The sequence below is a fragment of the Homo sapiens genome, chromosome 13, assembly GCF_000001405.40.
Source record: "Homo sapiens chromosome 13, GRCh38.p14 Primary Assembly".
NCBI classification, from domain to species: domain Eukaryota; kingdom Metazoa; phylum Chordata; class Mammalia; order Primates; family Hominidae; genus Homo; species Homo sapiens.
In genome coordinates this window covers 47,980,753-48,005,903 of record NC_000013.11, presented here as the reverse complement: position 1 = coordinate 48,005,903, position 25,151 = coordinate 47,980,753, and the positions used below count along the sequence as shown (strand labels likewise).

The 25,151-nt window shown below is 39.4% G+C and overlaps 1 protein-coding gene and 1 long non-coding RNA gene across 2 annotated transcripts in view, besides 7 other annotated features; one reads left to right on the top strand and one right to left on the bottom strand.

The window, feature by feature from the left end:
* Positions 626-1,223: an enhancer, noted in NCBI's record as "NANOG-H3K27ac-H3K4me1 hESC enhancer chr13:48578817-48579414 (GRCh37/hg19 assembly coordinates)". NCBI's record gives its function as "activates a minimal SCP1, AML or CMV promoter by ChIP-STARR-seq in naive and primed H9 embryonic stem cells {active_cell/tissue: H9 hESC(naive and primed)}" and the evidence as "EXISTENCE:reporter gene assay evidence [ECO:0000049][PMID:30033119]".
* Positions 1,822-2,419: an enhancer, noted in NCBI's record as "H3K27ac-H3K4me1 hESC enhancer chr13:48577621-48578218 (GRCh37/hg19 assembly coordinates)". NCBI's record gives its function as "activates a minimal SCP1, AML or CMV promoter by ChIP-STARR-seq in naive H9 embryonic stem cells {active_cell/tissue: H9 hESC(naive)}" and the evidence as "EXISTENCE:reporter gene assay evidence [ECO:0000049][PMID:30033119]".
* Positions 3,091-4,290: an enhancer, noted in NCBI's record as "CDK7 strongly-dependent group 2 enhancer chr13:48575750-48576949 (GRCh37/hg19 assembly coordinates)". NCBI's record gives its function as "activates an origin of replication core promoter dependent on BRD2, BRD4, P300/CBP, MED14 and CDK7 cofactors, with strong dependence on CDK7, by STARR-seq in HCT116 cells {active_cell/tissue: HCT116}" and the evidence as "EXISTENCE:reporter gene assay evidence [ECO:0000049][PMID:35650434]".
* On the bottom strand, positions 3,213-4,499 carry SUCLA2-AS1 (SUCLA2 antisense RNA 1). Its single transcript, NR_189308.1, has 2 exons — positions 4,082-4,499; positions 3,213-3,469 (listed from the first exon to the last, which is right to left on the bottom strand). It is a non-coding gene; the product is annotated as an SUCLA2 antisense RNA 1 (long non-coding RNA).
* Positions 4,437-4,546: a silencer, noted in NCBI's record as "silent region_5330". NCBI's record gives its function as "represses an Ori minimal core promoter by ATAC-STARR-seq in GM12878 lymphoblastoid cells {active_cell/tissue: GM12878}" and the evidence as "EXISTENCE:reporter gene assay evidence [ECO:0000049][PMID:35858748]".
* SUCLA2 (succinate-CoA ligase ADP-forming subunit beta) overlaps positions 4,631-25,151 on the top strand; it is a 58,618-nt gene continuing 38,097 nt past the window's right edge. The window contains exons 1-4 of the mRNA NM_003850.3: positions 4,631-4,724; positions 8,881-9,061; positions 16,923-17,022; positions 17,201-17,363. Coding sequence (NP_003841.1) covers positions 4,635-4,724; positions 8,881-9,061; positions 16,923-17,022; positions 17,201-17,363 — 534 coding nt within the window. The 5' untranslated portion in view covers positions 4,631-4,634. The remainder of the gene's footprint in view (positions 4,725-8,880; positions 9,062-16,922; positions 17,023-17,200; positions 17,364-25,151) is intronic.
* Positions 4,667-4,856: an enhancer, noted in NCBI's record as "active region_7719". NCBI's record gives its function as "activates an Ori minimal core promoter by ATAC-STARR-seq in GM12878 lymphoblastoid cells {active_cell/tissue: GM12878}" and the evidence as "EXISTENCE:reporter gene assay evidence [ECO:0000049][PMID:35858748]".
* Positions 4,877-4,926: an enhancer, noted in NCBI's record as "active region_7718". NCBI's record gives its function as "activates an Ori minimal core promoter by ATAC-STARR-seq in GM12878 lymphoblastoid cells {active_cell/tissue: GM12878}" and the evidence as "EXISTENCE:reporter gene assay evidence [ECO:0000049][PMID:35858748]".
* Positions 4,947-4,996: an enhancer, noted in NCBI's record as "active region_7717". NCBI's record gives its function as "activates an Ori minimal core promoter by ATAC-STARR-seq in GM12878 lymphoblastoid cells {active_cell/tissue: GM12878}" and the evidence as "EXISTENCE:reporter gene assay evidence [ECO:0000049][PMID:35858748]".

Genomic DNA, 25,151 nt, shown 5'->3' with positions numbered 1-25,151 from the left:
GGATCATGCTTTTGGTGTTGTCTAAGAATTCTTTACCTAGTTTTAGATCTTGAAATTTTCTCCTATTTTTTTCTAAATGTTTTATGGTTTTGTGTTTTACAGTTAAGGTAATTTTGAGTTAAGTTTTGTATAATATGTGAGATTTTGGTCAGGGCTCTTTTTGATTGTTTGCTTGCTTATGGATGTCCAATTCCTCCAGCACCATTTGTTTAAAAGACCATATTTCCTCCGTTGAATTACTTTTGCACCTTTGTCAAAAATCAGTTGGGCATATTTGTGTGAGCCTATTTTTAGGTTTCTTATTAAGTTTCATCAATCTATGTGTCTCTCTCTCCAGCAATACCACACAGTCTTGATTATTGTAGCTATTATAGTAAATGTTGAACTCAGACTGTTTCTTCCCACTTTGTTCTTTTCAAAATTGTTTCAGCTATTCTAGTTTGTCTTTTCACATAAAGTTTATAATACTACGTCTGTATGTATAAAAAGTTTTGCTTGAATTTTAATAGAAATACATTAAATGTATATATCAATTTGGGGAAGAATTGACATCTTTACTGTGTTAGGTCTTCCAATCCATTAACATGGTAATATCTCTTCACTTATTTATCTTCTTTGATTTATGTCATCAGTATTGTGTAGTTTTCAGCAGGTAAGTCCTGTTCATGTTTTATTAGATTTACATGCATTTCATTTTTAAAAGGAATTTTAGGTGGTATTGTATTTTCGATTTGGGTCCATGTGTTCATTGCTTGTACCTAGAAATACAATTGATTTTTGTATATTTTTCTTGTTTCCTGAGATCTTGCAGGGCTCACTTATCAATTCAAAGAGTTTTTTTTTTTTTTTTTTGGTAAAATGTTTGGGATTTTATACACAGACAATCATCTTATTCTTGTCAGGCCTCTGAGCCCAAGTCTGCACGTATTCATCCAGATGGCCTGAAGTAACTGAAGATTCACAAAAGAAGTGAAAATGGCCTGTTCCTGCCTTAACTGATGACATTCCACCATTGTGATTTGTTCCTGCCCCACCTTAACTGAGCGATTAACCTTGTGAAATTCCTTCTCCTGGCTCAGAACCTCCCCCACTGAGCACCTTGTGACCCCCACCCCAGCCTGCCAGAGAACAACACCCTTTGACTGTAATTTTGCTTTACCTACCCAAATCCTATAAAACGGCCCCACCCCTATTTCCCTTTGCTGACTCTCTTTTCCGACTCAGCCCGCCTGCACCCAGGTGATTAAAAAGCTTTATTGCTCACACAAAGTGAGTTTGGTGGTCTCTTCACATGGACGCGTGTGAAAATTGTGTATAAATTACCTGAGGGTTGGTAATTCATAAAGAAAAAAGGTTTATTTGGCTCATGGTTCTGCAGGCTAAACAAAAAGCCTAGAGCCAGCATCTGCTTCTGGTGAGGGACTCAGGAAACTTCCCCAAATGGCAGAGGGTGAATGGGAGCTGGCATGTGCAGAGATCACACTGGAAGAGAGCAGAAGTGAGAGAGAGAAAGAGGGAAGGTGCTAGGCTGTTTTTAACAATGAGTTCTTGGGAGAACTCTCACAGGAGCCAATACAATGAGAACTTCTCATTACCCAGAGGACAGCACCAAGCCCTTCATGAGGGATCGGCCTCCGTGATCCAAACACCTTCCACCAGGCCCCACCTCTAACATTGGAGAATCAGATTTCACCATGAGGTTTGGATGGTCAGATATCCAAACTATAGCAACAATTATGTTATCTGTAAATAGTGAGAGTTTTCTTTCTTTCTTTTCACTCCATATGTTTGTAATTGCTTTTCTTGTCTATTGCACTGACAAGAACTCCCAGCACTATATTGAATAAAAGTGGTGAGAGCGAACACCCTTGCCTTGCTCCCAGTCTTATGAGAAGAGCATTCAGTCTTCTCTCACCATTAAGTATATTAGCCGTAAGTTTTTTGTAATCCGGTTTATCAAGATGAGGAAGTTCCCCTCTATTCCTGTTTATCTGAGTTTTTAATCATGAATGAATGTTGGAATTTGTAAGATGCTTTTTTTGTTTTTTTTTTTTTTGAGATGGAGTTTCACTCCTGTTGCCCAGGCTGGAGTGCAATGGCACGATCTCGGCTCACTGCAACCTCTGCCTCCCTGGTTCAAATGATTCTCCTGCCTCAGCCTCCTGAATAGCTGGAATTACAGGCACATGCCACCACACCCAGCTAATTGTGTATTTTTAGTAGAGACGGGGTTTCTCTGTGTTGGTCAGGCTAGTCTCAAACTTCTGACCTCAGATGATCTGTCTGCCTCGGCCTCGCAAAGTGCTGGGATTACAGGCGTGAGCTACCATGCCTGGCCTGTTTTTTTTTTTTTTTTGTAATGGGGGTCTCATTATGTCACTCAGGCTGGAGTGCAGGGGCACGATCACGGTTCACTGCAGCCTGGACCTCCTGGGCTCAAGTGATTTCCCCCCCATCTCAGTCTCTGGAGTAGCTGGGACCACAGGTGTACACCACCATGACTGGCTAATTTTAAAATTATTTATAGAAATGAAGTCTTGCTATGTGGCCCAACCAGTTTGGTCTCAAACTCCTGGGTTCAAGCAATCCTCCCACCTCGGCCTCCCAAAGTGTTTGGATTACAGGCATGAACCATTGTGCCCAGCTACTTTTTTTGTTTTGATCGAAATTATCATGTGATTTTTCTAACTTAATATAGTGCATTACACATATTTTCAAATATTAAAACAAACTTACATCTCTGGAATATATCCCACTTGGTCATATTGTACAATTCTTTTTATATATTTCTGAATTATATTTGCTAATATTTTGCTATGGATTTTTCCATCAATATTCATGAGAAGTGTTGGTATTTTTTTCTTTTTGTACGGTCTTTTGCTGGCTTTGGTAGTGGGGTGATTCTAACTTCATACAGTACATTGGCAACTGTTCCTTCCTCTTCTATCTTCTGGAAGAGGCTGTATGGAATTGGTGTTAATTCTTGTGTAAACATTTTATAGAATTCATCAGTGAAAGCTTTTGGGCCTGGAGATCTCAGGTTTTTTTTTTTTTTAGTTTAAAAATTACAATTACAATTTTCTCTAGTTAGAGGACTATTTAAATTACCTTTTCATATTAGGTTATTTGTAGTAATTTGTGCCTTCTGAAGAATTCGCTCATCTTGTCAAAGTTGTCAAATTTATGTTATGTGGTGTTATTTATGGCATTCCTTTTTGGTGTCTGAAGGTTCTGTAATTATATTCCCTGGTATGTTCCTCACATTGGTAATTTGTGTCTTCTCTTTTTCTTTTTTCTTTGCAGTCTTGCTGGAGGTTTGTTAAATTTATTTATCTTTTCAAAAACCAGATCCTTGGCTGGGTGTGGTTGCCCACACCTGTCATCCCAGCACTTTGGGAGACTGAGGCAGGAGGATCGCTTGAACCCACGAGTTGGAGACCAGCCTGGGCAACATAGAGAGATTCTGTCCCTAAAAAAATAAAATAAAAAAATCAACCAAGCCTGGTGACACACATCTGTGGTCCCAAACTACTCCAGAGGCTGAGGTGGGAGGATCCCTTGAGCATGGGAGGTTGAGGCTGCAGTGAGCTGTGATCGCGTCACTGCACTCCAGCCTGGGTGACAGACCAAGACCCTGTCAATCAGTCAATCAATCAATCAATAGCTTCCCTGGAGACTCCAGCCTGCCACCAGCTTTGGTAACTAGTGGCCGACTGTCAGGCCTCTGAGCCCAAGCCTGCACGTGTACATCCAGATGGCCTGAAGCAAGTGAAGAATCACAAAAGAAGGGAAATTGGCCGGTTCCTGCCTTAACTGATGACATTCCACCATTGTGATTTGTTCCTGCCCCACCTTAACTGAGTGATTAACCTTGTGAAATTCCTTCTCCTGGCTCAGAACCTCCCCCACTGAGCACCTTGTGACCCCCGCCCCTGCCCGTAAGAGAAAAACCCCCTTTGTAATTTTCCGCTACCCATCCAAATCCTATAAAACAGCCCCACCCCTATCTCCCTTTGCTGACTCTCTTTTCGGACTCAGCCCGCCTGCACCCAGTTAAAATAAACAGCCTTATTGCTCACACCCTGTTTGGCGGTGTCTTCACACGGATGCGCGTGACACCGATCTCTTTGAGCATCAGAAGCGCATGACACCGACCATCTTCTCTTTGAGCATCACAAGCGCGTTACACCGACCATCTTCTCTTTGAGCATCACAAATGGTTTTATTCATTGCTGTAGGCCAAGGGCTCAAGGCTGTTTAGCACGAAGTAGACACTGGGTAATCATTTCTTGAATGAAACACATTTTACAGATGAGGCAACTGAGGCTGAGAGAAGTTAAGATCACCCAAGTGGCGGCGCTGGTCACCTTTACATTGCAATTCACTAGGAAGTGTTCAGGTTGCTCTGACCGCAGGGCAGATATTGGGGCTGCGGTGCCCAGTTCCAAAGGTCAAAGCTTGCTCCGCGCCCGCCAGGGAGCTGGTCTAGCGGCTGCAGTGTTAACCCGAGGCCCCGCCCCCAACGGGTGGCGCGAGGCGGGGCGTAGGTGAGCGCTGCAGAGAGGCTGCGCCTTGGGCCGCCTGTCGCCTGTGCGCCTGCGCGCGGCGCCGAGGGGACGGGGTCCGACTCAGAAATGGCGGCCTCCATGTTCTACGGCAGGCTAGTGGCCGTGGCCACCCTTCGGAACCACCGGCCTCGGACGGCCCAGCGGGCTGCTGCTCAGGTAATGCCTTCCAGTCCGCTGTCGTCTCGAGGGTCGGCAGGAGAAAGGGTGAGGTGTGAGGGGTCCCGTGGCCCGGCTCGGGGTCACTTCGCCGGCAGTGACATTTTCTGGGTGCCCTGCAAGGCCCTCGGGCGACTTGCCTGGGAGTGCTGCTCGCCAGGACTACGAGCGAGCCCATGTTTGCGCGGCTCTGACCCAGCCCTTAGTCCGCGAGGATCCCCGGCGGCCCGGCCGTGGCTGCTCCTGCAGTTTCTAAGAGATGGGCGGGAGCAGGTGGGCTCTGAGTGGAGGTGAGGGGGTCAGGACATTTTCTGCTGCCATTCCGGCGTCTGGCACGGTGGGCTGAGACTTGCGCCGCCCCTTTTTGGGCAGGGGGGAATGCCCTTCAAAAGTACTTTTGTGTTTCTTGGGAGCTGTCATAGGTGGGAATGTCAGAGGACCAGCGGTGCTTACTGACTTGCCTTTTGTGGGGCAAGGTAGGGAAGTTTCCCCTCTCCTCCAAGTAGTTGTATACTGTTCTACTTGTTAATAGCAGTAATAAGATTATGTTTTCTACCTAACCAGTTGGAGAGGTAAGAAAATAATCTTTTGTATAGCCTTATTTCTGGATAGGCTATAGCATAATAGTTACTGGCCTTGTTTTGAATATTTGATGTGTGCCAGGTAATGTGCTAAGCGCTTTACGTGTAGTTTCTCAGGTTTTTCAGCAACTGTGAGGAAGTCATTCAACACCTGCATCATTGTTGAACATATTATGGTTAAGAGAACAAGTAATTTGGACTAGGTCATATAGGAGGTAAGATCAAAGCTGAGATTTAATCCCAGAGGTGTCTGGTTCTAAAGCCGTGTACTTGAGTTGGCTCCACAACTTCGAAAACAAACATCTTCCTTCCAACTTTGACAACAAAAAACTGTGGAAGGGCATTATTGGTGTCCTAAGTCAATTCCAGAGTTTTGGGTTTTTTTCTGAAGTAACTCTTCATACATGTCATAGTATGAATTGATTTAGGGCCCTCCCGCCCCTACCTTTTTTTTTTTTTTTCATTTTTATTGAAGTTGTTCATACTTTCAGCCTAGGGGTAGTGAGTTCTGTGAGTTTGCTTCCCGATAGAAGTGACTTTTTGACCTTGAACTTCCTTCTTATGAATCTTAGAAGAGTGCTATTTAGTTTTTAGAAAATGGGGAATTTAGTGACAAATACGTTTTCATTCTAGTCAAAATCTTTATCTTTTTGGAAGTTCATTTAAAAGCCTTCATTTCTCCTTATGGAAATTTCCAATATTATTTTCTTTATAACAGTTGCTGTCTTCTACCCTGGTATTAAGAAATGCAGCTCTAGAGTTTGGAAGGACCTTAGTCCAACCCTTTGCTTTTGTAGATGAGGACATAGAAGTACGGAGTCTTAAGAAACTCGTTCAAGGTCACACATTTAATTTAGCAATTTGTTTTCCACATTTTTTTTTTTTTTTCCTTGAGACGGAGTCTTGCTCTGTCGCCCAGGCTGGAGTGCAGTGGCGCGATCTTGGCTCACTGCAAGCTCCGCCTCCCGGGTTCATGCCATTCTCCTGCCTCAGCCTCCCTAGTAGCTGGGACTGCAGGCGCCTGCCACCACGTCCGGCTAATTTTTTGTATTTTTAGTAAAGACGGGGTTTCACCGTGTTAGCCAGGACGGTCTCGATCTCCTGACCTCGTGATCCTCCCGCCTCGGCCTCCTAAAGTGCTGGGATTACAAGCTTGAGCCACCGCACCCGGCCTGTTTTAAACATTTGTTTAAGTTCTCTGACCCTCCTCCAATTTCTTGGTATCTTTAGCCTAGTGTACCTTCGTTGAAAATAGATATTTCAGCATATGTCTTTAAGAATAAGGACATTCTTCCAAATAACCGCAGTGATCATACTTAGGAATTCAACATTGCTGTAACATGAATATATATAGTTTAGATTCAGATTTTTCTAGTTGTCCCCAAAGTGTTCTTTATAGACATTAGATTTTTTAAAAATTTAAACTGGGATGAGACCTTGTGACATTTTCTCTGACCAACTAACCAATTAGGTGCCACCTAGTGACTTATGTGCTAGTGACCTAGTGCTCTTATATGTGTTGCAGTTGTTTATTTACATGCCTGTGAACTCTGTGGCTGGGACCCAAGTGTCTTTATTTTTTTAGTGTCCCTAGCCCACTGTCTAGTTCATAGTCATCACAAAAAATATTTGAGTGTATGACTTTTTGCCAGGCTTATGCTAGTTACTCCCCTACCCACTAATTTTTATTATTATTTTGACGTATAATTTATGTACAGTAAGATGTACAGCTTAAGTGGATAGCTAGATTAATTTTTATGTATGTATTCACCTGTGTAACCATCGTCTGCATCAAGATATACAATGTTTCCAGCCCTCAGAAGGCTCTCATGTCCTCTCTCTTATCAATACTCCCTGACAGAAGGTAGCAACCAATTATGACTTCTGTCACCATAGGCTAATTTTGACTGGTTTTGAACGCTATAAAAATAAATCATGTAAGTATATATTCTTGTTTCTGGCTTCTTTCTCTCTACATTATGTTTGTGAGATTAATCCATCGATGTGTGAGCCATAGTACTTTTTTTCTTTTTATTTCTCTGTAGTATACTATTATATACATATACCACAGTTTATCCATTCTCCTGTTGATGGGCAATCAGCTAATTTCTGTTTTCTGTCTGTTATAAATAAGCCTGCTCTGGACACTCTAGACATTTTTATGTGTGCCTTTTGACAGATGTAAGGACTAATTTCTATTGATACATACCCAGGAATGGGATTTCTGAGTCAGAAGGTGGAGGTATACTAAACAGTAGTTTGAGAGGTTGCTGGGTTTTTTTTTCTTTTTTTTTTTTTTTTTAACTTATTTATTTGTTTTTTTAGACAGGGTCTTGCTCTGTTGACCAAGCTGGAGGACAGTGGTGAAATCACAGCTCACTGCAGTCTCAAACTCCTGAGCTGAAGGGATCCTCCTGCCTCAGTCTCAGGAGTAGCTGGGATTATAGGTGTAAGCCACTGTGCCCAGCTTGGTTGCTGGCTTTTAATATTGAAGTGACACTAAATCAAGGAATTGAGCTACCTAGGTCAAATGTTACCAAGGATTTTAGCTTGCTAAATGGATCAGAAATAAGTTGCTATTATATATGATTGATTTGTAAGACTAGTAGTTCTCATAACTGTAGGGTTCTTAAGAATCAACTGAGTGACTTGTTATGAATGCAGATTTCCTTGGGCCCAGTCCAGAGATTCTAATAGTGCAGTTGAGAATGGGTCTCAGGAATCTGCAGATTACAAGCACCCAGTTAATTTTGAGGCAAAAGCTTATGAACCTACTTTAAGAAACAGATTGTTTCTATGACCTCTTTAAATTTAATTCTTAGGACACTGTGTGTTTCATATGAACCATGTTTCAGTATACTGCATTCTGTATTGAGATTATGGAAATGCGTGGATAACATTTAAATGTGTGATTCCATTGACCAGTCATTGGGTGCAGGCTGACAGTGGGAAGGAGGTGTGACTTTGGGCAAGTAGGCTCCAGTAAGAGGACTTGGCTGAGAGCTGTCAGCAACCAGCACTCCCAGCAGCAGCAGTGGGGGCTATGAATGCCTTGGTCCTGAATGGGGAGTGCCAGGGAGATCTGGGCAGCATACTGCAACATCCACTACAGATGAAGCCATGGTTTTGAATATCGAGTGTATGAAAGAGTAATGGTATCAAATCATTTTATTATTACATATCTAGTGCCAGGTGACTTGTTAGGTGTGGAGGAATGGTAGAGAGAAGAAAATTGGGAAGGATTTTTGGTTTGGTGGAAAAGATGAGATTGGTTTTAGATCCGCTGAATTTGGCATTGAGGTAGAACTGCCCTGTAGATCATTGGAGATATGATAGTAAAGCTGAAATCTGAAATAAGGAATAGAGATGATGAGGAAATAATTAAAATGACAGTGGTAACAGTGATATTTAGCTGATAGGCTAGCTTTTAGTTTTATGCTGTAATTCAGGTACTCTGAATATTGTACTTTGCTAATGTAATGTAACAGTTTTGTTATAGTTATGAAGAACCAAGTAGTTAGCAAGAGTGACTGCCAAATCACTGTCATATATAAATATGTCCCCAATCTTTCTAGGTTCTGGGAAGTTCTGGATTGTTTAATAACCATGGACTCCAAGTACAGCAGCAACAGCAAAGGAATCTCTCACTACATGAATACATGAGTATGGAATTATTGCAAGAAGCTGGTGTCTCCGTTCCCAAAGGATATGTGGCAAAGTCACCAGATGAAGCTTATGCAATTGCCAAAAAATTAGGTACTAAATTAAGAAAAGCTTTTGCCACCTTGACATGAGAGCTCTGAGAAGATTTGAAGTTTGTTTTTGGTTTGATAACAACTTTTAGCTTTTTTTTAAAAAAAATACATTTTCTTTGCTTAAAATAGAAGGTAGAACTTTATTATTATTGAAATTCTAAAATTATTATTATTATTATTATTATGAGCACCCATAATGCCAGTGACGTGGGAGTCACTTACATTGGCATTAGGAAGCTGAAGTCCTGTTTTTAGTTGGAATATAATTATGGGGAAGGGAATTCTACTACTACCACTCTAACTACTCTGGAGCTTAAAGGATGGCAGTTGTGATGATTCTTCAGGGAAATGGTGAAGGAAAATCTTAGCTGTTTATGTGCTTATAAGGAGAGGTCCGTGCTTCCCCCTCCATTTTTTTGTCATGAAAAATATGGAACCAAAGGGGAACAAAAAGTAGAGTGCTAGAATGTAAACTCCTTGAGAGCAGAGTTTCTTTTTCTTTTCTTTTTTTTTTTTTTTTGAGACGGAGTTTCATTCTTATTGCCCAGGTTGGAGTGCAATGGTGCAATCCTGGCTCACTGCAACCTCCGCTTCCCGGGTTCAAGGGATTCTCCTGCCTCAGCCTCCCGAGTACCTGGTATTACAAGCACCACCACCATGTCCGGCTAATTTTTTTGTATTTTTAGTAGAGACGGGTTTTCACTATGTTGGCCAGGCTGGTCTTGAACTCCTGACCTCGTGATCTGCCCGCCTCCGCCTCCCAAAGTGCTGGGATTACAGGTGTGAGCCACCACATACAGCCCGAGTTTCTTTTTCTTATTTGTTCACTGATATATCCCAAAATCTTAGAAGAATGCCTGACACTTAGGTAATCAATAAATACTAAATGAATAAATATTAAATGAATTTAATAGTTGCCCATGTTTATTAGCAGATTCCTTTATTGATAACAGAAGCCTTAATAGCTTTTGTCAATTTGAATTAATCTCTTAATCAAAAAATAATTTTTGATTTCAGAAAATAAGCTTACATTTTTAAAGATTTAGCATGAAAACCATGAGCTGATGTACTAGCTATACACTGCAGTTTCTTTTTAGCAGTATTTTAAATCCCACCAATTTTACGTAGATTAGCATAAATAATCTCTCTTCTATGTACATTTAATTAATAGGCTTTAAATATGATTTGGTGAATACTTTGCTTTTATATTTTTTAAGAAAGATGAGCATTTTCAAAGTGATTGAAATTTTAAAAGTATTCATCTTGTGTAGTACTTATTTGTATCTAGAATGGATTTTTCTTTCAAAATTAAGGATATATACAAGTTCAGAAAACTGTCATATAAGCTATGTTTTTGAATGAGATGGCCATGATTTCCTTGACTTGGAAGCATGATTTTTCATTTATAGTTTTGTTGTTTTTATTGTTGTTAATCAGAAAGAATTATTTTAAATCAGATTACAAGCAAACTTTTTATTAAGCAAAAGCTTTGTATAAGTTCATACTAATTGTGGTGAAATTTTTGTTAATGGTGACCTATAATTGGAACTTCTGCATGGTTAATGTTAATGGGACCTGATTTATATATAATTACGTCGGTAAAAATGGTTTTCCTCTTGTTTCCAGATTTTAAAATTCCAAAAAAAAATTTTTTTTAGAGATAGGGTCACTATGTTGCCCAGGCTAGTCTGAAACTCCTGGGCTCAAGTGATCCTCCTACTTAGGCCTCTGAGTAGCTGGAACTACAGGCACATGCCACTGTGTCTATTTTTTGAGTATTATAATTGGTTTCTTTAACTAGTTTTCCGTATATTTTCTCATTTAGTGAAATTCCATTGTTTTGTCAGAAAAAATAATTTGCATAGAAACTTTTTCATAAAATGAATAGGATTAATTCAGATGCCAATCTGTTTTGATTATGCCTTATAAAAACTTAATGATTCTTAGGTACAGAAGAAAGAAATAATATGTGCAGGATAAACTGTAACTATGAGTATTTCTGGCAAGTTCTCTGGGACCAGAACTCACAAGTAATAAGAAGCAGGTAGGCAGCTCTGATTTTGAGCCCCTTGGAACAGATACCTTGTTCATTTAGAAAGTGTGTTTTTTGTCAAAGAATATTGCAAATGATGATTATAGTGTGGGAGGGAGACTAATAATTAACAAGGAAATTTAAATCTAGAGGAGCAGAAATGCTAGTTTTTAAAAGATAAATTTAGAAACGTCTATGAAAATATGGAGGACAATTTCGTGGTTTTTTTTTTTTTTTTTTTTTTGAGACGGAGTCTCACTCTGTCGCCCAGGCTGGAGTGCAGTGGCGCGATCTCGGCTCACTGCAACCTCCGTCTCCCAGGTTCAAGCAATTCTCCTGCCTCAGCCTCCTGAGTAGCTGGGATTACAGGTGCCCGCCACCATGCCCAGCTAATTTTTGTATTTTTAGTAGAGACGGGGTTTCACCATGTTGGTCAGGCTGGTCTCGAACCCCTGACCTTGTGATCCACCCGCCTAGGCCTCCCAAAGTGCTGGGATTACAGGCGTGAGCCACCGCACCCAGCCCAATTTTGTGTTTTTAGTGAGTCATTGATAACAAAAGATAACGATTATGGGATCTAGTTGCACAAGGTGTAGAATGAGGGACCTTAGAAATACACTTGGTTTTGTTCATGTAGCTAGCAATTCCCAATGCTGAGTTTTCATTACTTCAGGGTGATTTTTGCTTTTTGACTTTCTGCAAAATTCATAAAATGCTAATTTTCATTTCATAAAAACTCTTTTTTTTTTTTTTGAGACGGAGTTTCGTTCTTGTTGCCCAGGCTGGAGTGCAATGGCGCCATCTCAGCTCACCGCAACCTCCGCCTCCTGGGTTCAAGCAACCTCTGCCTCCTGGGTTCAAGCAGTTCTCCTGCCTCAGCCTCCTGAGTAGCTGGGATTACAGGCATGTGCCACCACCCCGGCTAATTTTGTATTTTTAGTAGAGACAGGGTTTCTCCATGTTGATCAGGCTGGTCTTAAACTCCCGACCTCAGGTGATCCACCTGCCTCACCCTCCCAAAGTGCTGGGATTACAATAGGCGTGAGCCACCAGGCCTGGCCTTCATAAAAACTCTTAACTCAGCGCTTTGCTCAACAAGTGACATAATAGAACATAAATGCTTTACAGGTGTGCCAAACTATTGTTTCTTCCCAGTCCTGTGGTGGCAGGAGAAGTTGAGTTAGCATGGGGTTTGGGGCCACTGAGCCTCTTTACCCAGTATTTCCTACCATGTCCATCATTTTCTGTTTGTGTGATGATGTGAAAAAAGTTGAGAGGCATTGTCCTGTAGGCAAGTTTTACCTGCTGTGAATAATTGAGGTTAGGAATGGAGGAATGGTTAGAAAGAAATCTAATTCTAATATTTTAAAAGACTATATGAGTCCCCAAAATGAAGGTTGGTGAGCTTGAAGATCATGAAGTTTCTGGAATAGATTATCAAAGGGATGGTTATTAGCACAGATAAATGTAGTAGATATTATTTGGGGTCAGTTCTGAGAGCAAATTATCTCTAACAGTTCATAGTTCAAGGAAATATGATTTTAGTAAGGGTTTGGCAGAATGTTTGTTGTTTTGTTTCTGAGACAGTGTCTTGTTCTGTCACCCAGGCTGGAGTGCAGTGGTGTGATCATGGCTCATTGCAGCTTCGACCTCCTGGGCTCAAGCCACTTCTCCCGTCTCAGCCTGCTGAGTAGCTGGGACTATAGGTGTGCTCCACCATGCCTGGCTAATTTTTGTATTTTTTCTTGAGATGGGGTTTCACCATGTTGCCCAGGCTGGTCTCAAACTCCGGGGCTCAAGCCTTCCACCCACCCTTGGCTTCCCAAAGTGCTGGGACTACAGGCGTGAGCCACTGCGCCTGGGCACAGATTTGGCAGAATTTTTATAATTTCCCTATTGACTATAGAAAGATAGTTTGGCTTCTAGTATATTTAAGGTGGAATCCCTATCTGGTTGAATAGATACATGTAAAGGGTGCTGATTAATGAATGTCAGCCCGGAGGGAGATTTCTAATGGCATATAATAGGACTTTACCTTCTTTCTTTCTTTTAAATATTTATTAGTTAGATACCTGTATACAAGGAATGCTTAAAATGTTTGTGAGTGACTAAAGGTAGCTGGGATAGTGATTGTGTTTTAGAGACAGTCTTGGGATCCAAAAAAGATCTTGTCTGACTAGAGCAGTGCCAAATGTAATAAGACTGCAGGTTCTATGAGGGCAGGAGAGGTCTCACTCACTGTTGTATCTACAACGCTAGCACAGTGTCTGGTATGTAGATGAACCTGTTGAGTGAATTAATGGAATTGAATAAAATGTTTGTTTCGACCAGTTGTCCTCAGACTTCTCTTCTAATCTTTCTTCCTTTCTTGATAGTTGATGAGACTGTATTTCATGAAAAATTTTTTTTTTTTTTTTTTTTTTGCTTTCGTTGTGAAGGGCTTTTTTTTTTTAGAAGGAACTTTCGAAGAATCATCTTTTGCCCTTAAAGACTTTATATTCCTAAAGAAAGGAAATTGACACTTTGCGGGGAAGAGAAGAACCTTCTGTCTTGCCAAGTGTTTTTGAAAAAATAGAGCTTCGTTACTCTTAATAGGTCAATGTGTTAAGTTCCCAGTTTAATGAATAGGAATGATTGAATTTAGCTCAGTAAAGCACAGTGTAACTATGACCATTTTTTACATTACATTTGCACTGTTTGCCTTGTAGTTCTCTTCTTCGGATATAAACAAATATTTAAAGTGCTGGAAAATCAGGACTGGACAGGTAAACAGAAACAAGTGGAATAAATAGTGGCTGCTCCCTTCCGTTTGGGCACAAACTCTCTAATTTGCCATGGTTCAGAGACAACCTGTAGTATTCTCAATAAGAACGTTATTGTTGGTTTTAAGGAAATTTCTGAGTTGTTTCTATTTGTTACCTAATATTAGTTGTGATACATTTGTGAATAGTAGAGACAGGGTAATTGAAAAGGGTTTGTCTTATCTAAACAAGATACTTTTTCTAATCAGCTCTAGTTGTAGTACTGTGCACCCAGTTTTTCCCATTGGGAGTTTTCGTAAGAGCAGTGAAGAAATCTAGATTTATAAGAATTCTGTTCATATTTTTAAATGTTCCTTTTTTTCAACATTCAGCAAAATATTATGTGCTAGGAACTCTCCCAGACGCTTGTTAACATCTATGAATACAACAAAGATTCTGCCCTCCTGGGCCTCTTTTCTGATGGGGAAGCAAAACAACAAATGATATATGTAAGAGAATTACATATGTACGAAGATGATGAATTCTATGGCGGAAAGAAGTGTAGTAGGTAAGGGGGATTGGTCACAGGTGGGCAGGTTAGTAGGGTAAGCTTCATGGGCAACATGAGATTTAAAGAGAAACTTGAAGGATCGGGGGCTTTTCCCACATGGACACCTGGTGAAGAGTATTCTAGGCAGAGGGTGCATTAGAGCCAAGTCCTGAAGGCAGGAACATGCCCAGGAATAGTGAGGGGATTAGTGCAGTTGGAACAGAGTGAGCAACCAGGAGGGCCTAGGAGATAAAAAGTGTAGAGGGTATTATAAGGTCTTCTAGGCCATTGTAAGCACTTTGGCATTTAACTGAGTGAGACTGGCATTCAGTGCAAGGTTTTAAGTAGAGGAATGGTGTGCCTGCTTTGGCTGCTGCCTTGAGAATATTCTGTGGGGGACAAAGGTCATATAGTTAAGAGATAGTGGTGGTTGGGATCAGAGTCTAAACTGCAGGTGATGAGGAATGGTGAAGATTCTGGATAAATTTGAAGATAGAACCAGTATGATTTCCTGGCTGAATGGAAGTGGGGTTTGAGAAAGACAAGTTTTTTAAACACTCTCTTGGCTGACTACGCATAGGGTCATCATCTGGTTTAAATAGCATGTATTTCTGGTGAAGGCTTACATCAGTAATTTTCTAAATGTTCTTTTAAAATAATTGTTAATGTGTAAACTTTAGGTTGTTTTTGTTTGGTTTCAAACTCCATTTCCTACCTCATTGATTTGGTTGGTTCATCTGATTAGGTGGGAGCTTCCTCTCATTCTGCTTGATAAATGCATCGTGGAGTGACATCCTAGTTGTAGAGGACTCTACTTCAGTCTGTTCAAATCCATGTTTATGGAGTAGTTGTTATATCCCAGAGACTTCCTTGTGCTTGGGATATAATGAATACAGTGAGACCTTTAGCCCTGATCTCAAAGGTTATTTTGCCATAATGTATAGTTGGTGCCACCCTGCCAGTGTGGGCAAAATGCTATGAGAGGCAAAATGAGGAGGCTCTGAATTCTGCCTGTCTGGTACACAGAGAATGCCTTTCTAAGAGGTATTACTCTTTTTTTTTAACTGATACATAATATTTTTGTGGTACATGTTATATTTTGTTACATGCATAGAGTGTGTAATGATCAATTCAGGGCATTTAGGATACCCATCACCCAGAGCATTTACTCTTTTGAGACAGCCTTGCTCTGTCCTCCAGGCTGGAGTGCAATGGCACAATCTTGGCCCATTGCAACCTCCGCCTCCCGGATTCAAGTGATTCTTGTGCCTCAACCTCCCAAGTAGCTGGGATTACAGACATGTACCACCATGCCTGGCTAATTTTTGTATTTTTAATAGAGATGAGATTTCACCATATTGGCTAGTCTGGTCTCGAACTCCTGGCCTCATGTGACCCGCCTGCTTCAGCCTCTCAAAGGGCTGGGATTACAGGAGTGAGCCACCGCACCGGGCCCATTTACTCTTGATCATGAATGATGAGTACTATCTAGGCTAAACAGCCAGTTTGCTGGTTTTCCACAGCAAATTAGAAAGGAGAGGAAAAGGGATAAATAGTAATCAGTCTACCTGTTAAAGAAGAAAAATTCAGTCCATTTATTTAAAAATATGCATAAGCTTTGCAAGCATAGAATTCTGAAATCTTTTGATACAGATACCTTAATAACTCCTGATAGTACTACTCATGCAGTACTGCTCAATAATGTATTTTAATAGAACTTTCTCTTAGTGGGACAGTATAAATCAGTATCAATACTGGTAATGGTAATATCCCCCAAATCATGACATATTCCTGCTATAGCGATATAACTCAGATGTTCTCAGGACAGCAAGTTTACATGTGAATAGAGAGGGAGGGACGTGTTAGGAAGACATGAAATTCAATTTTGTACTTTTGATACTTTCCAGAGTTCTAGATGACACTTTCCAAAGTGTCAAGAAATGGTTAAATTATTTTCAGTTTACTTTTAAGAAATGGTTTAATGTGGCCAGGTGCGGTGGCTCATGCCTGTAATCCCAGCACTGGCTCACGCCTGTAATCCCAGCACTTTGGGAGGCCGAGGTGGGCAGATCATGAGGTCAGGAGATCGAGACCATCCTGGCTAACATGGTGAAACCCTGTCTCTACTAAAAATACAAAAAAATTAGCCAGGCATGGTGGCGGGCGCCTGTAGTCCCAGCTACTCGGGAGGCTGAGGCAGGAGAATGGCGTGAACCTGGGAGGCGGAGCTTACAGTGAGCCGAGATCGCGCCACTGCACTCCAGCCTGGGCGACAGAGCGAGACTCTGTTTCAAAAAAAAAAAAAAAGAAATGGTTTAATGTAAGTGACGAATTTTGAAAATTGTGGGCCTTTTAGACAGTGATTATTTTAGTGTTCTAATCTAGAAAATCTACATAAAGAGAATGCCTTATTTTTGGACATTGTGAATAAATTAGACTTGATTTAATAACACCTGTCAATATGTATGTTAAATAACAAAATACTATGTCTGGCATGCTGCTCCATGCTTCATATTTAATAGAAGTGTTTTTCTTCTAGGTTCAAAAGATGTCGTGATAAAGGCACAGGTTTTAGCTGGTGGTAGAGGAAAAGGAACATTTGAAAGTGGCCTCAAAGGAGGAGTGAAGATAGTTTTCTCGTAAGTCACATTTTTTAAGGAAAAATCATCCTTGTTAAAGACTGATTAAAGATTACTTATTGAATTGATGAAAATACTGAAATTTAAATATTAGATGAGATAAAATTTTGGCTATTATGTGGATTTGCTTTTTCTCAACTGGAGGAAAGAAAAATTTGAGTTCTTTTTCTTATTTTAGTCCAGAAGAAGCAAAAGCTGTTTCTTCACAAATGATTGGGAAAAAATTGTTTACCAAGCAAACGGGAGAAAAGGGCAGAATATGCAATCAAGTATTGGTCTGTGAGCGAAAATATCCCAGGAGAGAATACTACTTTGCAATAACAATGGAAAGGTCATTTCAAGTGAGTAATTGTAGACATGATACATACGGGATAAATTTATGACATTCAATTTCAAAAGTCCATTATTGTTTCTATTTATGTGGGAAAGATTTTAAAAGTACAAATTATAATCTGTTTGTATGTCATGAGCATGATATTTATGTCATTTAAAAAACAGCTTCTTTAATGCCGTAAAATTTGATATATAATATCATGATCTTAAAATTATAGGAAAAATTCTGCTGTAATAAATTTCATGGGATTCTCAAATTGTTAATTCACTAAAAGCAGCTTAAATCATCTCTGGATCATCTCCAGATTGAGAAAATTATATCTAGCATAGTAAAATATTCTAATGAAAGAGAAAGTTGCTGAACCCACTAGAAGAATGTGTATCCATTGCCTCATCTTCTGTTTTCTCAACTTCTTGGGTTTGTTTTTTTTTTTTTAATAGTTTCGGGTTTGTTTCACTATATGATTCAATATTTGGTAAATTGAGGGATGACATTAAGTAGCAAACAATATGGTTTTAAGGAGTATTACATTAGCACAGCTCTCCTCTCTTTATGGAACCTAAAATGTTGAACATAAAGCTTCTGGTGAAGAGAAAATCCCTTTATAGACCTGGTGTTTGGAAGAGAGCATTGATAATCATTTTATACTAGAATTATCTGTTTTTCGAGGGTATTAGGTTTTACAAGCTGAATCTGTGTGTTAACTAGCTTGTTTTTTGAAGCAACTGGGTATATATTTGAAAGCCCCAGTACGGATTTCATGTAGAACATTAATTGTGTAGAATTTAGAGTAACAAAAATTTTAAGAGTCATGAAAATAATTTTCTTATGTAGAACAACTTTTTTAAAAATAACAACTTTCTGTATTGTGATTTTTCTTATTTACAATTAAATCTATTAATGTTTGAATGATATGTCTTTTGCAACTTTTAATTTTTATAAGGAAGTATTTCTAAAGATATAACACTAGATGGTAGTAAAAATCCACTCAGAATATAAAATTAAGAAGCATTGTTTTATTCTTAAGTGATATTCTATGTGATAGAATTTAGTTTGTAAGTTATTTTAAAAATCCCATGACAGTAACCTCATATATTACCCAAAATTTACATAAATTATATTTTTACACATTCACTTATTTTCACTACATTTTATTTTTCTTTTCATTGACATTATATATCGGCATCTGTCATTTTGTTAGTTATGTTTTTACTTTTTGTTACAGTAGCCAGAAACAAGGTATAAATACCTGGATGAATTGAGATAGGAGTTCTATCCATAGTAATTCATCTTTATTGTAGTAAAGGTAGGATACTGAATATGTATTATTAAAGATATGTTTAAGGCATTTGGGAAAAGGATCAAATTTGAGTTCATCTTATGAACTTGAATTTCCTGACAACTATTTAGGTCTTGTTGAGGATAAAATGTTTTTATTTTAATACTTGCTTACTAATAATACGTGGTTATAATTCAGGTTAAAAATACTGTAGTACCAGTAAAACTGTTTGACCGAAGACATTATAAATTCTTTGATATTATCACATTAGACCAATGTAGAGTTGGTTGGTGTTACTTTTTGGGGTATAGCCATGTTTTTGGGAATCCCTGTGGACAGATCTCTGTTGAACAACAAAAATTAGTCACCTATTTAAACTACAAAGAGCACTTGTGATTGAGTTAATGTCCCATGCATGGGAATTAACTAATCATTAGAAATTGCTTTTGTTAAAATGGGGAAAGGATTTCCTATTTAATAAATGGTGCTGGGAGAACAGGCTAGCCATGCAGAAAATTGAAACTGAACCCCTTCCCTACACCATATACAAAAGTTAACTCAAGATGGATTAAAGACTTAAATGTAAAACTCAAAACTATAAAAACTCTAGAAGGAAATCTAGGTAATACCATTCATTCAGGACATAGGCGCGGGCAAAGATTCATGATGAAAACGCCAAAAGCAATTGCAACAAAAGCAAAAATTGACAAATGGGATCTAATTAAGCTAAAGAGCTTCTGCACAGCAAAGGAAACTATCATCATAGTGAACACACAACCTGCAGAATGGGAGTAGATTTTTGCAATCTATCCTTCCGACAAAGGTCTAATATCCAAAGTTTATGAGAAACTTAAAACAAATTTTCAAGAAAAAAAGCAAACAACCCCATTAAAAAGGGGGCAAAGTACATGAACAGACACTTCTCAAAAGAAGACACAGGCTGGGTGTGGTGGCTCACGCCTGTAATCCCAGCACTTTGGGAGGCCGAGGTGGACGAATTACCTGAGGTGAGGAGTTTGAGACCAGCATGGCCAACAAGGTGAAACCCTGTCTCTACTAAAAATAAAAAAATTAGTTGGGCATGGTGGTGAGTTCCTGTAATCCCAGCTACTTGGGAGGCTGAGGCAGGAGAATGGCTTGAATCTGGGAGGTGGAGGTTGCAGTGAGCCGAGGTTGTGCTACTGCACTCCCGTCTGGGCGACAGAGTAAGAATCCGTTTCAAAAAAAAAAAAAAAAAAACTATACATATGGCCAACACACATGTGATTAAAAAGCTCATCACTGATCTTTAGAGAAAAGCAAATCAAAACCACAATGAGATACCATCTCATGCCACTCAGGTGGCTATCATTAAAAAGTCAAAAAACAACAGATGCTGGTGAGGTTTTGCAGAAAAAGGAATGCCTTTACAGTGTTGACGGGAGTGTAAATTAGTTCAACCATTGTGGAAGACAGTGTGGCAATTCCTCAAAGACCTAGAGGCAGAAATACTATTTGACCCAGCAATCCCACTACTGGGTATATACCCAAAAGAATATAAATCATTCTGTTATAAAGATACATGCATCGGTATGTTCACTGCAGCACTGTTCACAATAGCAAAGACATGGAATCAACCTAAACATCCACCGATGATAGACTGGATAAGAAAATGTGGTACATATACACCATGGAATACTCTGCAGCCATAAAAAAGGAATGAGATTATGTCCTTTGCAGGGATATGGATGGAGTTGGAAGCCATTATCCTCAGCAAACTAATGCAGGAGCAGAAAACCAAACACCGTGTGTTTTCACTTAAAAGTGGGAACTGAATGATGAGAACACATGGACACAAGGTGGGGATCAACACACACTGGGGCCTGTCGGGGTGGGGGTGGAGGGAGGGAGAGCATCAGAAAGAATAGCTAGTGAATGTTGGGCTTAATACCTGGGTGATGGGATGATCTGTACAGCACACCACCATGGCACATGTTTACCTATGTAACAAACCTACACATCCTGGACATGTACACCTCAACTTAAAAGTTGAAGAGAAAAAAAAAGAATAAGCAAAGCAAAACTAAAACAAAACAGAAAACAATTACTTCTATTACTGACTTGTTTTTAGGAGATGTATCATAGGTTCTACTGGTCTTTAGTACCTTTCACATCCTGATTCCGGGAGGTAACTTCTATGGGGTTGGCTTGCCAGAAAGTGAATTCAAGTACCTACTCTCTGTGTGATACCTTTGTTAAATTAGATTTCTTAACATTTGCCTAGTGCCTGTTGGGTACTTTTGGTCTGAGTCAAGTCTATTTAATAAATCACATTTACTACTTTTATTTTTCTGGTAAAACAACTGCAGTCTTCTGCAAATGAGTGGGACATTTTCCTGTGTCAATTTTTGACTTTACCTGAAATAGTTATAAAATGTGCTTAAGAATTCTAATTTTACTTCGTGTGATTTTTTTTAAATACACATCTTTATTTTTTATTTTTATTTTTAATTTTTTTGAGAGTCTTGCTCTGTCGCCCAGGCTGGAGTGCAGTGGTGCCATCTCTGCTCACTGCAACCTCCGCCTCCCAAGTTCAAGTGATTCCCCTGCCTCAGCCTTCCAAGTAGCTGGGATTACAGGTGCATTCCACGATGCCCTGCTACAGATCTTTATTATATCATGTGGCTGCTTTCTCATTTAAGCCTTTTACATTTAAGCCTATTTTAAGGCAAATTTAAAAAAATACCAACAAGAGAAGAAGAACTTAGGTTAAGAAAGTGAAAAGTAGGGCTGGGCGTGGTGGCTGACACCTGTAATCCCGACACTTTGGGAGGCTGAGGCGGGCGGATCATGAGGTCAGGAGATCGAGACCATCCTGGCTAACACAGTGAAACACTGTCTCTACTAAAAATACAAAAAAAACAAAAAATTAGCTGGGCGTGGTGGGGGGTGCCTGTAGTCCCAGCTACTCGGGAGGCTGAGGCAGGAGAATGGCATGAACTCAGGAGACGGAGCTTGCAGTGAGCCGAGATTGCACCACTGCACTCCAGCCTGGGTGACAGAGTGAGACTGTGTCAAAATAAAAAAAAAAAAAAGTGAAAAGTAGAATTATTAATATATTTGAAATTTCAGCTACTTGCTTGAAATGAAATTGTTTTGAAAGTTTATTACTAAGATTTAAAAGTGAAGCCAAGTCGTTTGAACATGAAATAGCTATTCATTCTACAGTGTTGACTAAATGTGGAACTATAGTCATTGTTTAACGTTTACCCATGCAAGTTGGTTTCTTTCTAATTGGTTGTGGAATTAAGACAAATAGAGACTCCACTTTCTTCTATGTATTATTGTTTCCTTTTTTTTCTAACTTATAACCAATTGTTGACTTAATTTTTACTTTAGTGAGAATTTAATATTAACTTTTCTCCTCGTGTTGCCTTCTCTGTGGCTTTTCATTTCTTTTACCAGTTGGTATAAAAAGAGAGTAAAACTAAAATGAAAAGAGGCTGGGTGCGGTGGCTCACACCTGTAATCCCAGCACTTTGAGAGGCCGAGGCGGGTGGATCACAAGGTCAGGAGATCGAGACCATCCTGGCTAACACGGTGAAACCCTGTCTCTACTAAAAGTACAAAAAATTAGCCAGGCGTGGCGGCAGGCGCCTGTAGTCCCAGCTACTCCGGAGGCTGAGGCAGGAGAATGGCGTGAACCCGGGAGGCGGAGCTTGCAGTGAGCCCATATCGCACCACTGCACTCCAGCCTGGGCGACAGAGCGAGACTCCGTCTCAAAAAAAAAAAAAAAAAAGGGAAAAGAAAACTAAACTAAAATGTTAGAATATTTTAAAGATTTGTTGGTCTGTACCTCTCCTGTTGAATAAAATTATATTTTATGGTTATCTGTAGATTTGTCTATATTCTATTTCAGTGGCATGACTAAAACTGAACCGCCTCTTCTTCAATCAGAATTTTTTCCTGCTCTTTAGATCTTTGTAAAAGCTAATAATTATGCACTGCCTTGCTAGAGAGAAAACGAAGAATACCCTTTCATTTGAAATTTATAGAGGAACTGAAAATTAAACCATCATTTCAAACATTTCTCTTTACTTAGACTTGCTAATGTTCTCTTCTTTAGCCTCAGAAGGCTCTGAATTCTTTTATTTAAAAAAGTTTTTTTTTTATATTGAAAGGAGTTCTAATACTAAGTGCCCATGGTTTAGCTAAACTTCAGAGGCTAAGAGCATAGTCCTGCACTTGATTGCCCTTACTTTAGACACCAGTCTCAATTTTGGTGGTCCCCAGGTTACCCTCATTTCTGACTAGCTAGCTACAAATTTGAGGGTTAATTCCTTAGAACGACTCACAGAGCTCAGGAAAATGTTAAACTTAGTATTACAGTTTTATTATAGCCAAAGGATATAAAAATCATAACCAGCCAACAAGGTCTGGGAGGGTTCCCAAACACTAAGTTTCCACTGTTCTCAGGAATGTTTTGTCTTGCTAGCATCTTAATGTGTGGCAGTATGCAGAATATTGCCAACCCAAAGCTCCCCAAGCTTTTGGTGTTCAGAGATTTTTTTTTTTTAGATTGTCAAAAATATAACAAAAAATTTACCTTACCCATTTTGAGTATGCAGTATAATAGTGCATTCTCAGAAAGAAAGAAGGAAGGAAGGAAGGAGGGAGAGAGGAAGGAAGGAGAATGTTAATTTCTCTTTTGGTAAAAGGAACAGAGTAAAACAATTTGTGCACATTTTGTGCAACATCTCCAGAACAGATATCCAAATCTTTTTTTTTCTTTAATTTTTCTAGAACTTTTTTTGTCTTACAAAATTAAAACTATTCATTGAACAGCTCCCTTTTCCCTCTCCCACTTCCCTCCAGCTCCTGGTAATCTCCATTCTTTGTGTTTCTAAAAGTTTGAGTATTTTAGATACCTGAAGTAGCTGTCTTTTTGTAACTGGTTTATCTCAGCATAATGTCCTCAAGGTTTATTCATGATGTAGCATATGACAAAGTTTCCTTATTTATGGCTGAGTACTATTCCATTTTATGTATATACTGCATTTTCTTTATCCATTCATCTTTTGATGGACATTCAGATTGCTTTCATCTCTTGGCTATTGTCAGTAATGCTACAGTGAACATAGATGTTCAAATATTTCTTTGAGATCCTGTTTTCATTTCTTTTGGATGTATACCTAGAAGTGGGATTACTGGATCATATGGTAATTCTATTTTTAATTTTTTTGAGAAGCTTCTATAATGTTTTCCATAGCAGCTGTACCGTTTTATTTAATTAATTATTTTTTTGAGACAGAGTCTCGCTATGTCTCCCAGGCTGGAGTGCAGTAGTGCAGTCTCGGCTCACTGCAACCCCAGTCTCCCGGGATCAAGTGATTCTTCTCCCTCAGCCTCCTGAGTAGCTGGAATTACAGGCACCCACCACCACACCCTGCTAATTTTTTTATTTTTGTATTTTTTTGAGACGGAGTCTCGTTCTGTTGCCCAGGCTGGAGTGCAGTGGTGCGATCTCGGCTCACAACCTCCGCCTCCTGGGTTCAAGTGATTCTTCTGCCTCAGCCTTCTGAGTAGCTGGGACTACAGGCGTGCACCACCATGCCCGGCTAGTTTTTGTATTTTTAGTAGAGACAGGGTTTCACTATGTTGGCCAGCTGGTCTTGAACTCCTGACTTCAGGTGTTCTGCCTGCTTTGGCCTCCCAAAGTGCTGGGAATACAGGCATGAGCCCACTGCACCTAGCTGAGCCGTACCATTTTATATTCCAACTAACAGCAGACAAAGCTTCCAGTTTTTCTGCATCCTCGCCAATATTCATTTTCTGTTTTTTTGGTAGTGGCCATCCTAAAGGGTGTGAGATTATATTTCACTGTGGTTTTTATTTGCATTTCCCCCGTTATTAGTGATACTGAGTATCTTTTCATATGCTTACAGGCCATTTGCAGATCTGCTTTGGAGAAATGTCTATTTAAGTCCTTTGCCCATCTTTAAATTTTTTTGTTTGGGTTTTTTATTTTTTACTTTTTTGGTTATTGAGTTGTAGAAGATCTTACATATTCCGAATTTCAGCTTTTAACTAGATATATGGATTGCAAATATTTTCTCTCATTTTGTAGATTGCCTTTTTACTTTGTTGATTATTTCCTTTGCTGTGAAGTTTTTAAGTTTGATAGAGTTCCATTTGTCAATTTTTGCTTTTTTTCTGCCTGTGCCTTTGGTATCATGTTTAAGAAATCATTGCTAAATCCAATGTCATAAACTTTTTTCTCCCTGTTTTCTTCTATGAGTTTTATAGTTTCAGGTTTTATGTTTAGGTCTTTAATCTATTTTGAGTAAATTTTTGCATATAGTAGTATTGGTAAGGGTCTAACTTCATTCTTTTGCATGTGGATATCCAATTTTTCTAGCACCATTTGTTGAAGAGACTGTTCTTTTTGCCCTCTTGTGTAGCTTTCCCACCATTGTTGAAGATCATTTAATCATATACCTTAGGGATTATTTCTGGGTTTTCTGTTCTATTCCATT